The sequence below is a fragment of the Homo sapiens genome, chromosome 14 (genome assembly GCF_000001405.40).
Source record: "Homo sapiens chromosome 14, GRCh38.p14 Primary Assembly".
Taxonomy (NCBI): Eukaryota; Metazoa; Chordata; class Mammalia; order Primates; family Hominidae; genus Homo; species Homo sapiens.
In genome coordinates, this window is record NC_000014.9 from 34024097 (window position 1) to 34039597 (window position 15501).

Genomic DNA, 15501 nt, shown 5'->3' on the forward strand with positions numbered 1-15501 from the left:
AAGCACCTCCTCTCAGAATAAGACTTTGTTGAAAAATAAAGGCGGACTTTCTAAGAAGAGCAGTTCCATAAATGCAGAGAATAATAAATATTTTAATGGTTGATGATTATTATTCCAATAATATTAATAATACAAGAGAAAACAATTCCGCAGTTCTGTTGAAAAATTAAAGGTAGCTTCCACCACAACAATACAGTAGTTATTAACTCTTTGGCAAAGCTTGAACCAACAGACCGCACCGAAAGTCAACAGACTTCCGATTGCAAGGTGAAGGGAACAAACTTCACAGGGAGCAAACTGTTGGGGAACAAAGGAAACCTTTGTTTCACTCTCAGATGTGCAACTGATGTGCAACTTGTGCACAGACACCGGGGTGCCCACGCTGTCTTTCCTCCAGGTTAACACAAGACACTAGTCTTTTCTCCAACACCTCCCCTTTCCTTCCAGCCCTTCTCCCTTCTCTTCTCCTCCCCTCTCCTTCCCGGTCAGCATGTTCTTTCCTATTCAGGGACATAGGAGAGGGGTCTATTTGATAGTCTAGCACCATTCTAACATAGAATCACATGTTGTAACCACACATTCAGGACACATGTTTCATACTTCTAAAACCCTTCATTAGAGGATCTCAAAGCACTCTTCAAACAGTAATTAATCATCTCCTCCTATGAATGTTTTCCTCCTAAAAGCTAGAAGTAGAAACACAACAATTATATGACTTACTCCTCAAACTACTACCAGCATATTCATTGAAATAATTCCTAAGCCACCTCCCCAACACACACACCCACACTCACATGTACACCCACATGCAGAGAGTAGAGGAAGGGGGAGAGAGAAACAAAGAAAATTTTTTAAATGGTGGCAAGGCCGTGAAATTCTTCACTCCTATCTTCACAGCAGAGGTGGGGCCCAGGTCATCTGTACACCGTAAGTGTCAATAAGGACCTAAAGTTTTCTGGCACACCATTAATAGGATGAGTGGGAATCTACTTCCATTTGTGAAGTTGCCTGTCTTCTCATATTAACCCCTCTTCTCTAAGCCATCCACACCCTGACTAGTAGAGACTTCTTAGACAAACCAGGCTTTTCTCATCTCCTACTCCATTGTGTAGTCCTGAAGTGCTGAGCATCTCCCATAAAGAACTATGCATTTCAGAACTGGGTAAATTGGTTCTTCAAAGTGGGTTATTTTCAAAATTAATGAAACATGTTTGGCCCATTAGAGTGAGCTACAAAATCTAGGAAATTTTCTTTTTCTTTTTCTTTTTCTTTTTGAGATGGAGTTTCACTCTTATCACCCAGGCTGGAATGCAATGGCGCAATCTCAGCTCAACCTCCACCTCCTGGGTTCAAGTGATTTTCCTGCCTCAGCCTCCCTAGTAGCTGGGATTACAGGTGCCCGCCACCATACCCAGCTAATGTTTGTATTTTTAGTAGAGACGGGGTTTCATCATGTTGGCCAGGCTTGTCTCGAACTCCTAACCTCAGGTAATCCACCTGCCTTAGCCTCCCAAAGTGCTAGGTTACAGGCATGAGCCACCATGCTCAGCCAGCAAATTTTCTTAATGAGTATGGACAATCTACATCTTCAGCTAACTTTTGCTTACCTTGTGCTACCTCCCTTTGGTTTCTCTCCTACCTGGAGTGCTGAATCAAAACAAGACCATGGAGAAACCTGGGAGCTGCTGTTCCCTGAATATTCTTCCCTGTGGCCTCCTCCTCAGGGTCCTTTCTCCAGTTCCAACATCTAGCCCTAATGGCCCAGCCTGGCCACAGGGGCAATCTCAGGCCATTTCAAGTTGGTCCCTAAGGGAAGAAGCTGTGTTTCATTCCAAGGCAGACTGTAAGGGTCATGAACCCCTTGAGGCCCATGACTTCACATCACCCATCATCCAGGCACTTCACATCTCAAGAACCATCACCTATACAGGCATACCTTAGAGATACTGTTCAATTCCAGCCATTGCAATAAAGTGACTATCACAATAAAGTAAGTCACACAAATATTTTGGTTTCCCAATATATATATAATTTATGTTTATACTATACTGTAGTCTATTAAGAATGCAATAGTGTCTGGCCAACATGGTGAAACCCCGTCTCTACTAAAAATACAAAAATTAGCTGGGCATGGTGGCATGGTGCTGGGCACCTGTGATCCCACCTACTTAGGAGGCTGAGGCGGAAGAAGCACTTGAACTCAGGAGACGTAGGTTGCAGTGAGCAGAGATCATTCCACTGCACTCCAGCCTGGGCAACAGAACAAGACTCCATCTCAAAAAAAAAAAAAGAATGCAATAGCATTATGCCTAAAAAAAAAATGTATATACTTTAACTAAAAAACACTTTATTGCTAAAAAATGTTAACAATCATCTGAGCCTTCAGCAAGCCATAATCTTTTTGCTGGTGGAGGGTCTTGCCTCGATGTTGATAGGTGCTGACCAATCAGGCTGGTGGTTGCCAAAGGTTGGGGTGATTGTGGCAATTTCTTAAAATAAGACAACAATGAAGTTGCAACAACAATGGACTCTTCCTTTCATGAGAGATTTTTCTATAGCATGCAATGCTGTTTGATAACATTTTACCGACAGCAGAATTTCTTTCAAAATTAGAGTTAATCCTCTCAAACCCTGCTGCTGCTTTATCAGCTAAGCTTACGGAATACTCTAAAACCTTTGTGGTCATTTTAACAATGTTTCTAGCACCTTAATAAGGAGCACATGCCATATCAAGAAATCACTTTCAGTTGGGCATGGTGGCTCCCACCTGTAATCCCAGCACTTTGGGAGGCCAAGGTGGGTGGGTTGCTTGAGCCCAGTTCAAGACCAGCCTGGGCAATGTGGTGAAACTCTGTCTCCACAAAAAATACAAAAATTAGCCGGGTGTGGTGGCACATGCCTGTAGTCCCTGCTACTTGAGAGGTTGAGATGGGAGGATCACCTGAGCCTGAGCTGGGGAAGTGGAGGTTGCAGTGGGGTAAGATCAAGCCACTGCACTCCGGCCTGGGTGAAAAAGCAAGACCCTGTCTTGAAAAAAAAGAAAGAAAAGAAAAAAGAAAAGAAAAGAAAAGGAGGGGAAGGGGGAGGGGAGGGGGAGGAGGAAGGGGAAGGGAGGGGGAGGAGAGGAGGAAGAGGAGGGGGAGGAGAGAGGAGGAGGGGGAGGAGAGGGGAGGAGGAGGGGGAGGAGAGGGGAGGAGGAGGGAGAGGGGAGGGGAAGGGGGAAGAAGGGGAGGGGGAGGGAAGGGGGAAGGGGAAGAGGGGATGGGGAGGGGAGGGAGAGGGGGAGGGAGGAAGAAGGGGAGGGGGAGGGAAGGGGGAGGGGAAGGGGAGGGGAGGGGGAAGAAGGGGAGGGGGGAAGAAAGGGAGGAGAGGAGGAAGAAGGGAGGGGGGAAGAAGGGGAGGGGGAGGGGGAAGAAGGGAGGGGGAAGAAGGGGAGGGGGAAGAAGGGGAGGGGGAGGGAAGGGGAGGGGAGCGGAAGGGAGGAGAGGGGAGGGGAGGGAAGGGAGAAATAGGACCTTGCTCTCAATTAGGCTTTAGCTTAAGGGAATGTTGTGACTGGTTTGTTCTTTCATCCAGACCATTCAAACTTTCTCCATATCAGCAACAAGTCTGTTTTACTTTCTTATAATTTATGTGTTCACTGGAGTAGTACTTTTAATTTCTTTCCAGAATTTTTCTTTTGCAATCACAAGTTAACTAACTGTTTGGTGCAAGAGACCTAGCTTTCAGCCTATCTTAGCTTTTGACATGCCTCCCTCACTAAGCACTGTCATCTCTAACTTTTAATTTAAAGTGAGAGACACGTGACTCTTCCCTTCACTTGTACACTTAGAGGCGATTGTAGGGTTATTCATTGGCTCAGTTTTAAGAAGCCAAAAGAAGGCTTTTGGCCTTCTGGGTGTATCTCCACTCATTTGGACATGCATTATGTCTCACTGTTTTTCTTTCATTCATCCATCTTAGTAACCATTATTGAGCACCTAGTGTGTACAGGCTCACGCGGGAGACACAGTAATGAACAAAATAAACATGGCTCCTGTCCTCTGGGAGTTATACTCTTGAGGGCAGACAAATGATAAACAATCAGACAAATAGCTGCATCATTACAGAGTCATGATACATGCTTTCTGAGAGTACAGGACAGCATGAAGGAACATAACAGGCCGATCTAATGAAGGACACTTGTGCAACAGCATTTGTCGGGCCATCTGTCCTGAATGCTTGGCCCGGTGGGTGCTACAGCCACAACATGCTTCTCATAGTTGCCTTCCAGGTCTGGTGAGGATTCCTTAAAAGAAAAGCAGCTGTCATTCAGGGTTTGCCTCAGAAAGAAATCAGGATTGGCATCCTCCTTCGTTTGCTTTGATTTGTAGAGTTTGAAGAGACTTCAAGAAGCCAGATCACCTGCCTCACAACTCTGGGGCATCATTCACATCACAGTCTATGAATGGAGCTTCCAGAATTGCACACACAGCCAGTTAATGACAAACCCTGAAATTTTAAGTTAAAGTTTTAATTTGATGGAAGGATAATTGAGCGACTGTGACCCTACAGAACATTTGTTACCACTCCTCTCCCATTCTGCCTTTAAAATGACATTGGCAGAGATTTCAACTATCCTCAATAACTCTCTTCGGGAAGCGTGAAAATCACTCTAATGAATTCCATACTTCCATGCTTTGCTTTGTAGTGGTGGGCACTGGCCTGAATGGAAACCTTTCGTCTGGTGGCTTAACCATTCCACTATAAAGGAAGGAAGGCAAGAGGAGAAAACAAGGAGGCAAGGAAGGAAAGAAAAGAAAGAAAAGGAGATGGAGAAAAAGAAAGAGAATGAGAAGGAGGAGGAGAGGCTGAGGTGGGAAGATCACTTGAGGCCAAAGTTCAAGACCAGCCTGGGCAACATAGCAAGACCTCATCTCTACAAAAAATAAAAAATTAGCCAGGCATGATGGTATGCACCTATAGTCCTAGCTACTCAGGAGGCTGAGGCAGGAGAATCGCTTGAGCCCAGTAATTAGAATGCAACAAGGTAGAATTGTGCCACTATGCTCCAGCCTGGGCAACAGGGTAGGACCCTGTTTAAAAAAAAAAAAAAAAATAGAGGAAGGGACAAAAAAGAGGAGAAATAAAAATAAAACAAATATTTAATGCATTATTTTACATTAATGTAAACAAATCCATGATGAACAAACTATCAAAATGTTCAATGAAGACAGGCTCAATATCACTGATTTTTCCTTTTGTCTGAGGTTCCAGTATGGCTCAGCATGACACGGACACCCACATTCATTTATGGGAGCGTGCTGGCTTTGTTTGTTCTTACTAAGATTTGAGAATCCGTGGGCCCAGGTGAATATCTGGAGCTGGTGTGTAGTAGCTAGCGAGAGCCTATTCAATGCAACTCTTTCCAACTCCATGTTAAGAACATGATATTGATATCAAACATGGTGAGAGTGTTTAATCAGGGAAATTGGCTAAGGCTACAAATTAGGGGCTTCCTCCCCAACCCCCCACCCCCCAACATCGCCACCCCCAGATTGCTGGTTTACCAACATCTGCCTACTGGAAGGCTTACTTACTCTCTGTTTAGGAACAAACACCAGTGAGGGCAGGTTTTAGTTAAAGCTGTCTCTACTATGGGTACAATCGACATTTGGGCCTGGCTAATTCTTTGTTATGGAGGCTGCCCTGTGCCTTGTAGGATGTTTAGCAGCTCCCCTGGCTTCTACCTTCTAGATGCTGATAACACACTCTTGTTACCCCAATGGTGACAACCGAAAGTCCGCAAACACTGCCAAATGTTCCAGGGGGTGAGGAGGGGCTGGGAAGGGGATGGCAATTTGTTTGGTTCGAGAAGGGACAGCCCCAAACTGAAGAAGCCAGAATGCTGTGCAAAGACAGCAGTTACTTTCTGCGCTTTCCAGCACAAGGAGGCAGCGGTTGTAGCCTGCTGACCTTGGAATGATCCCACTGGGAGGTGGGGTTGGGGAGGTGGGGGAAGTACTTTCCCAGTTCCTTGGTGGAGGTTTGTCAAGCTTCTCTTTGCCTGAGGATTGGCCTCCTTAGACAAACAAACATTTGGTTAGTTTGACGGGTAATCCAAATTATGATTAGAAACAGATTACCTAGCTCGAGACTTGTTTGGCGGGGAACAAAACCACCCACACAGATCCCTAATCACTTTCCAGGAAGAGGCCTCTCTTTAACTGGGATTGGGGACAAAAGCCTTTTCTTGAACTTTTAATCTTTTCATATATTCTTAGATCCTTGTGCCTCTCCTTGAAAAAAGGAGGCAGCCTCTAGCCAAGTTGAGTCTCTGAGCATACTCCACTGCCAGTGCAGGGTCAGGCTATAGTGAGTGTACAAAGGGTGGTCACCTGCAATCAGAACTTGCATGCTAGATTTCCGATTTTCTAATCACCAAGATTTTGAATGAAATATAAAATGAAATAATCTTTGAGACAGCATTCAAACTTTTTTTTTTTTTTTTTGAGACAGCGTCTCGCTCTGTCGCCCAGGCTGGAGTGCAGTGGCGCAATCTCTGCTCACTGCAATCTCCGCCTCCCAGGTTCAACTGCTTCTCCTGCCTCCGCTTCCCGAGTAGCTGGGATTACAGGCATGCACCACCACACCCACCTAATTTGTGTATTTTTAGTAGAGACAGGGTTTCACCATGTTGGCCAGGATGGTCTCAATCTCCTGTCCTTGTGATCTGCCCACCTCAGCCTCACAAAGTGCTGGGATTACAGGCGTGAGCCACTGTGCCCGGCCAGCATTCAACTATTTTTAAAGAATATTTAATTTACCATGTTTAAAAACAGTTTGCAATAAATTTTCAGCCACTCCGTCCTATGTCATACTCACATATGCACACACACACACCCACACACCCACACACACACACACACACACTCATTTTGGCAGCAGCTATAGCCAGATGGTATCTTCATCCTGGATGCCTTTTGATTCCCAACACACAGCTGTTGAGTCAGCCCTCATGTTTTCCAGCTGTTGTTTGCAGAATTAGAAGCTGGACAACTGAGGGAGAAGAGACAAAGCTGGGCTAAGTGAAAGAGGACAGAACCAATGTGTCCCTTTTTTGGAATCTCAAAGATCCAAGGACTGTGTTGGCAGAATCAGGACTGGTCATTTAGGCACCAGAAAACACTCATCCACCTGCTGTCACCCATGCAACCAGAAACCAAGCCTTTCTTTAGGTGGTTAAGGAAACTAAACAACTTGCCATTTCATCTAGTATCCATGGGATGACCACTCCCAAATCTCTATCTTTAGCCTTACCACATACTTGAGCTCCAGATCTGAATTTCCAGTGCCTATTGGTCAGGTGCAGATGTACATCCTGCCAGCCCCTCAAATGCAATGTGATCTACATAGGGATCACCATTCCCAGCCTAGCAGCCCCTCTTCTGGGGCTCCCCCTCTCCGTGGTATCCCTCCCTGTCCACACAGGGGCTTGAAGCCTTGTGTCACCTTCAAAGCCACCTTCTCCACTCCGATACCCACTCTCTCATATCTGCCTCTTATTTTCATTTCTACGGAAACAATTCTCTCTCCCGCCTAAATGACTGCACCATTCTGGCACCAGTCACTCTGTCTCACCCAGACACTGTTTCCTAAATAGCTCAAACATTGCCTCCTGCTTGTCAAACATCAGTGGCTCTTCTTGACCTATAATGCTCCTAAACAAGTCTTTCAAGGGCAGCTATGGTTTACCTGCAACCCCATTTTGCTATTATCATCTGTCCTTGGGTCCTTCCCTGTCTTCCAGCCCTTACAAATTACTTGTCTAAGGTATAAAATGGCAAACACACCCTACCCTTGCTAAAGCTACTTCCTCATCCCTTTTTCTGACTATTAACATTAGTCCTAGATCAAATGCTGCCTCCTTACCCTGGAAAACCTGTTTCCTCTTCGTTCCCGTGATACTTTGTAATACATAATACATATTTTAATAGGCTTTATTCTTTAGAGCTATTTACATCTCACATATACATTTTATGCTCTAGCCAGTCCTCCCCCTGGACTGAGGGAGGAGGCACAATACCTACATCTACTAGTTAATTGCTTGGGAAATAGTTGTTGAATGAAAACCAATTCCTAGAAAAAGACAGCCCAATGAGACAGGTGAGATCAGGATAAGATTAACTTCAGGGGCAAGTGTATCCAAAGCATAATATATAATAACAGGGGTGTGTGGGGAGGTGGGAAGGACAGGGGCAGAACCACACCCCCTTTTTGGCATTGAGAAAAGGGAGGAGGCCCACCCCACATTAAATCTGCAATTCCCTCAGGGATCCACCACCTTCATCTATGGGAAGGATGGCAACCAAGCAATGTCCCAATGACTGTGCCAGCACAGAGGACAACCTGAACACTCCCCCAGAGCTGAGGGTTCAGAAACCAACCCCCCGGAAGTTGGCTGTGCCAAGCACACACTACTAAGCTTTGCTCCAAAGAGTCCCTTAAATGTGGCAACTTGATACTAAATCTTCCCTTAGTGCTGATCACCTATTTAAACTGTGGTTCTTCTACTTGAAATGATCTTTTTTCAAAAAGCCTCAGAGGACTACTGATTAATTACAAGGAAAACACACTTCCTAACCCAAAAGTTACTTTAAAAGGTGTCGACCCTGTTGAAATGACTAGAAAAACTGAAAAGGTGGAGAGGCCAATGCATTATTATTTTTTTAAACTCATATTCAAATCTTACTTGTTGAGCACCTACCCTATTCACAGAAGTTACTGGATCTGTCACATGTCACACGAGGTAAGTGGTGTTATCTCCTTTTCAGAAACGAGAAAACTGAGATTCAGGAGCATGTATGTGAGTTTACTTTGTCTCTTAATTAGCTCATAAGTTTTTTGAAGTGAGCCCATGTGTACTCAAACCTATAGTGTCTTCCACAGTGTCAAAGAATGCTACATGTTCGACAGATACTTACTGAGCCTCAAAAGTAAGATGTCCTACCTTTTTACGGAAGACATGTCTTTGGTAATTTTTCTCCTTCTATACACCAGAAGCCACCTCCTCTCGCCTCTCAGAACCCCCACGTGGCAGCCAGGAGAATGAGCCCCCAGCCTTCCATCCACAAGGAGTGCGTAATTAACAGAGCGCCTCAGGTGCTGAGCTCCGGAAGCCCAGGGCCAGGTCCCACCTCCTATGGGCTCCCAACCTTCAGTTGACTTTGTCTGGCCTAAAGTCCTCCACGGCCTTGCCAAACTTTCCTCAGACTGCAGAGGAAGGTATAAAGCACTCCACCCAGGCTGGGTGCGGTGGCTCATGCCTGTAATCCCAGCACTTTGGGAGGCTGAGGCGGGCAGATCAACTGAGCTCAGGAGTTCGAGACCAGCCTAGCCAACATGGCAAAACCCCATCTCTACTAAAAATACAAAAATTAGCCAGGTATGGTGGTGTGTGGCTGTAGTCCCAGCTACTCAGGAGGCTGAGGCAGGAGAATCATTTGCACCTGGAAGGCAGAGGTTGCAATGAACTGAGATCACTCCACTCAACTGCAGCCTGGGCAATGAGTGAGACTTCGTCTCAAGGAAAAAAAAAAAAAACACAACACTCCACTCAGCCTTCCTTTCTTCACTCTAGGATCAGACTTACAGTGTGACGACTGTTTTACCTTCCTTTAGCTCCCTTGCCACTTTCTCGTAGACTTTCACACTACTAAAATCCTGCCATGTTTGATCTTGTCTTGATGTCTGCTTCTTGGGGGACTGGGGACTAACATGCCCCAGTTTTTGCTTGAATAAATAATCTGTAATCTTCATTCCCTTAAGAATATTTAGCAAACACCTATTATGTGCTGGGAATACAGGGGTGAACAACAAAAGCATCTGTGCCCTCATCAGTAACAGATTAATCAAATAATTGCAAAAATTAAAAGTAGAGGGACCTGTGATGAGATGAGAGGGGAGAACCTGACCTATTCTATGGGAGTGGGAGAGAATCCCCTGAAGGATGAGGAGTTAACCAGGCAGAGGTGTGAAGTATTTCAGGCTGATGAACAGAAGGTGCAAGGCCCTGGGCTAGTAGGGAGCTCCCCAAACAAAAGGACTTGGAGGAGGCTTCAGACAAAGGAGGGGAATGCAGAGCAATGTGACTGAAGAGGACGGCCCTTAAGAGACTGAAGAGGATGGCCTTGTGGGCCATCTTGGGAATTTGGAAAGACAATTTCTCTTTCTAGAGTGCCAGCTCTTTGAAAGCAATTACCTTGTAGCAGCCCTCTTTGCTAGTTCTGCCTTGCACAATGCAAATGCTCACTAAATATTTGTTGAATCAAACTAATAGAAATCAGTAAGGAAATAACTCAATTTTTTTGTGTGTGTTATTCTCCCTATCACCAACGGCACAGCAAATTAGCCAAATGCGTCCACCACATAGAAGCTTCTGGCCCCTGCTGGCTGATAAAAATCATCACAATGAGGATGATAATTCCCAGGCATTGGTTTAATTGTTGGAGAGACACAAGCAGAGAGATGCTGCAGAACATGCTCTGGATCAAACTGTCCAAGTACTGGTCCATCCGGGTGCGGTGGCTCATGCCTGTAATCCCAGAACTTTGGGAGGCCAAGTCAGGCAGATCACCTGAGGCCAGGAGTTCGAGACCAGCCTGACCAACATAGTGAACCCCGTCTCTAATAAAAATACAAAAATCAGCTAGGCATGGTGGCCCACGCCTGTAATCCCAGCTATTCCTACTGAGGCAGGAGAATCGCTTAAATCTGGAAGGTGGAGGTTGCAGTGAGCCCAGAGCACCCCCCACTGCACTCCAGCCTGGGAGACACAGTGAGATTCTGTCTCAAAAAATATATATATATTGACCTTACCACTTCCTACTTGGGTGACCTTAAGTTACCTAATGTCACTGCATCTCAGTGTCCTCATCTGTAAAGCAGAATTGATCCACTACCTCCATTGAAGCACTGGGGATGGGAGATGGGTACAGGAAATTGTTATAGAAAGTACCTTCAGCATACTGTCTGGTGCAGAGCAAGCGTCCAATAAATGGTACCAATTGTTAATATTCACACGTGGTCCTCTCGGCTGAGATAAGAGAACATGCACAGGGAGACTTCCCAAACCAGAGGGAGTTGTCACAAACTGTCATCAGAAGTGCATGGGATCACTTCTGATGCAAGAGGCCAGCTTTAAGGACCCACTGGGTAGGCCGCAAACCTTGATGCCTGGCCAAGCCCAGGCTTGCACTTTACACACTTGGACTCTGAATCCCACAGTAGTATTTAAATATAGATCTGAACACCAGACTAGACAGTGCACCACTAATGTGCGGGTATATGCAACATGCTCAAAAGGCAAACAGCGGCTAGGGAAAGGACACACTGCTTCTAGCTTTTCTGTCCTGGAGGACAGAGGCTGCGCCTTTTTTTGGCTCCATTTCAGAGCAGTAAAAGGCAGCATCATGAGCAGACACGGCCTAGTTCCTGCCTCTCAGGTTTGTTTTCCCATGTGGGACATTGCAGTTAGATCCTGAGCTTAGAAGAAAATGCCTACGGAATCAAAAAGGATAAAAGGAGGAAAAATACCTGGCTTCTGCCCCAAACGCTGTGCCCTAGCTGGCTCCAGCTGCCTTGGAATGGGGCAGGGTGGTTGGGTTGTAATTGCCCGGGCAGAGATATGAGGTATGCAGGCCTACGTGCACTGCCTCACACATCACTTGGCTGGGAGGGGCTCTGTTTAGTCAGTGTCCAGCTGATAACGACCTGAATCCTTAGGATGCCAGCTGCCTGCCAAGCTGGACATGTACAGACAGTGGCACCCAGAGGTCCAGGAGACAGAACAAAGGGCCTGTTACTGAGTCAGCCCTGTCTAAGTGTGTCATCCTTACTGAAAAAGGTTTTGGGCAGGCTGGCAGAGAGGCTATGTCCCAGGAAGCCCAGAATTCTGGAATGGAGACAGTCAAATTCTAAAGGGGTTCTCTGCTGGCAGATTCCTGTCATTGATTCAACCTGGGCTCTCTCACTAGGATCTGGCAGTTGGGCCATACCTTCCTAAGAGTATTCTTTTCCCTGCCTCCCACTGTTGCCAGGCCCAGCTGGTGCTGGCTCTCTTAGTGCCCTCTTGTTTAGGGGGACCGCATCCATCAGGGCCTTAAACCTTCCCTCTCCCCTTTTCACCAGGACATAATGATATTAATGATGGCTAACACATATTTAGGACTTACATCAGCCACTTACTGCTCTAAGCACTTCACATATATGTTGACTAATTTACTCATCACAACCACACTATGAGATGTGTACCATTATTTTCCCATTTAACAGATGAGTAAACTAAGGCACAGAGAGTAAATACCTTACCCAAAGTCATGCAGATAGCAAGGTGACAGAGCCAGGAAGCAAGTCCAGGTGGTCTGAACCCAGAGTCCCTGCTCCTAACCATTATGCTATATTTCTTCTCGGTTCATGACCAAGTTCTTACTGATTAAAATTAGTTTAAAATCAACCGATTCCTAGGCCTGCTTTTCCAGAATGAACAGCACTCAAGCTCAGAGCTGGGATTTCATAACTTCCTATTTTGTGTATAGTAAAATTGAGAAATGTTTACAAATTAGGAGAGGCTAGGAAGGGAAGCCAAGCAGCTCAAAAATGTGATATCAGCTTTGTGATGAAAACTGGTCTTTTCAGCCAAGTGAGTACTTGGACAAAATATCCCTCTCAATGCAAGCTATGCCTTAGATTTTCTAGTTTAAGAGACACTTGTGATACTAAAATTAGTCGGGTGTGGTGGCGGGCACCTGTAATCCCAGCTACTTGGGAGGCTTGAGGCAGGAGAATCACTTGAACCTGGGAGGCAGATGTTGTAGTAAACCAAGATCACGCCATTGCACTCCAGCCTGGGTGACAGAGTGAGACTCTGTCTCCAAAAAAAAAAAGAGACACTTGTAATTCAGTTAGGGGAACTGGGTACATAGTTAGGAAAAGCAGCTCATGGTTTGTTTATACCACTCCCCACTCCCACCACCACCCAGGCACCTCACCCCAGGCAGAAATAGCAGCCTTACAAATTTGAATGTTGTGGCCAGATTCGTGAGCCAGTCCCAGAAAGAGGGAATTCTTTGTAGCCATGGAAGTAATGGATGATCTAACATTACTGACCACTTAATCGCTAGGTACTTTATGTCATTTAATGCTCGCAAAAAGCCTAGGACATTGTTACTATTTTCCCCATCTTGTAGATGAGAATGCTGATGTTCAGAGATCTTATATACCTGCTCAAAGTAAGTCCTGGTGAATCTAGGACTCAAACCCCATCTGAATCCAAACGAGGGAAGGACTCAGTGCCAATTCAAGTCCAACTTTCCCAGGAGCCTTCCCTGTCTCCTCTGACCCACGTCAGCCCCTGTATTTTGACACAACTCTATTACCTGTCATCTTGGCCACAATCTGCACTTATTACCATTGTTTCATGCTGGGCCAGTCTTATTAGCCAATAAGATTGTAAATTTTGGGGAGCAGTGACACTGGGTTGAATTTTGTTTCTGGCTATTTCAGGACAGACAAACTGGGAGAGCTAAACACCTAGAACCACAGCCTGGTCTCCCTAGTCGCGGTAGGTCCGTCACTTCATCCCTAGAAAGTGCCAGTTTGGCTTTACGAGTTTCTAAACCATTCATTGGGAATAGTTTACATGTTATGCTTGCCCTCCTTTGTCAATCTCTTTACTGCTACTGCAGTTGGGTCCAGATATTGCAAATCCTCCCCGAAAGTAACTAATTCTGACTGCATTGTCACAAACTTGGGTTTAGCACAAGAGGGAAAGGTAGCTGAGTTTCCAATTCTGCTTCTCTTTGACTGTAGCTCACCATGCTGCAGGCCCTTCCTCCCATGATGGTGCTAACCAACATAAGCCCTAAGCTCTAATCTCAACCCTCTCCCAAATCCCAACATGTCAGACTAAATAATAATAAGGCCACAGGGCAGGCACACTGAGGCATGTGTGCATCATTACCCAAGTCAAAACCAAGATATATTCCAGGGCAGTTTACGATGCAGAAGTCACCCTTTAATTTAACAAACAAGCAAGAGGGCTGGGTGTTTCCTTCATTTCCCGAAGTAAAGAGCAAAAGCTTTTCTCATAGTAAAAAGCCTGAACCCACTCAACCTGATCCTGTCCTCCCAGTCAACAAGCACATTGATGTCAGTAAGAGTGTCCAGACATATAATCATGTATGAAAGTCAACAAAAGGAAGGCATCATCTCTTTCTGCCACCTCTCCAGAAGATGTGATAGTGAAGGTGTTGTCAGCTAACTGCTTCAAAGGCAAGCAGGGCAGTAGGCTGTTCCATGTCCCCTGGGAACATGAACATTACTTCACACTACGATTTACTGAAACAAAAGCAAACAGGGACCAGCAGAGACAGCTGTGAAATGAGATGGTGACATCTTCCTGATGCCTTTCAGCTGCTTGGATCTCCCCATTTTAAGACAGATAATGAGGCCATCTTAGGCTCAGCCCTTTTCTGATCCCATCTCTTTTCACTACAATGTACCTGTGCAGTGTGCTGATCCCTCCATGTTTTTAAAGGGAAGTTCCTCTGATCAGTGACTCCGTCGGAATATGTCGATGTCTAGCCTCACACTACAGGGTGATGACAGGCAGCCTTTTTTTCCCTCCTCTTAGGTTATACGAGCGTCTTAAACATAGTGGAACTCACAATTCCAGCTTCATTCCAAACTAGTGAGATATTTCTCAGCTGCTTCCTCCACCTGCTCCTGAGGTCCAGAGTACAGGGCATTTGCCTAAGTCAGCATGCTAGGTGATAACCACAAAGCTTTTCCTGCCAACCTTGCCATTTCCAAGCCCTTCTCTAACTGCATTCTCCTCTATTCTAGTCTCAACTCTGCTTGCTATTGGTGGAGTGCTTCTCCAGGGATGCATGTGGAGGAAAAGGAAAAGGAACCAGAGATGAAGGGGACATCCTCCTCCCTGGCACTGTCTCCATCTCTCCACAGTTCACCCATCATCTCCATTGGAAGGAAGGTACTCATGATCTTCACTGGAAGGAAGGCACCCAGAACCGCCCTGCAGAGACCATGAAATTAGTTGAGTGCTTCTCAAGAAATCTGTGATAAAGGGCCCGCTGATTTTTTCTAAAATTTCCAATCTACTATGAATCCTCAATTTTGTAGAATAAACAAAAATGAATTATTAGAAAAGAGTTAAAAATAACAGGCATATAAAATACAAGCTCAACTTTTTTGTTATTATGTCATAAAACTATTCCATCATATTGCTATGAACGTTTCTAAACAATTGCTCTCCATTTCTTCCCTTGTCCACAAACCAGCACGGGTTTGAGTCTCCCTGCTCTAGCTCAAGGTCTTAGCTATTTACTTAACCACTCAGAGCCTTGACCTGTTGTTTCTGCAAGATGGAAGAACAGTCATTACCTCAGCTGGTCAATGATGTCCCACATCTATATAATTCCAGGGACTCATTCCTGATTCTCC

General features: G+C 45.4%; 1 long non-coding RNA gene across 1 annotated transcript in view; it reads right to left on the reverse strand.

Annotated features, from left to right (window-relative positions):
• LOC102724945 (uncharacterized) overlaps positions 1-15501 on the reverse strand; it is a 244858-nt gene that overhangs the window by 65226 nt on the left and 164131 nt on the right. The window lies entirely within an intron of this gene.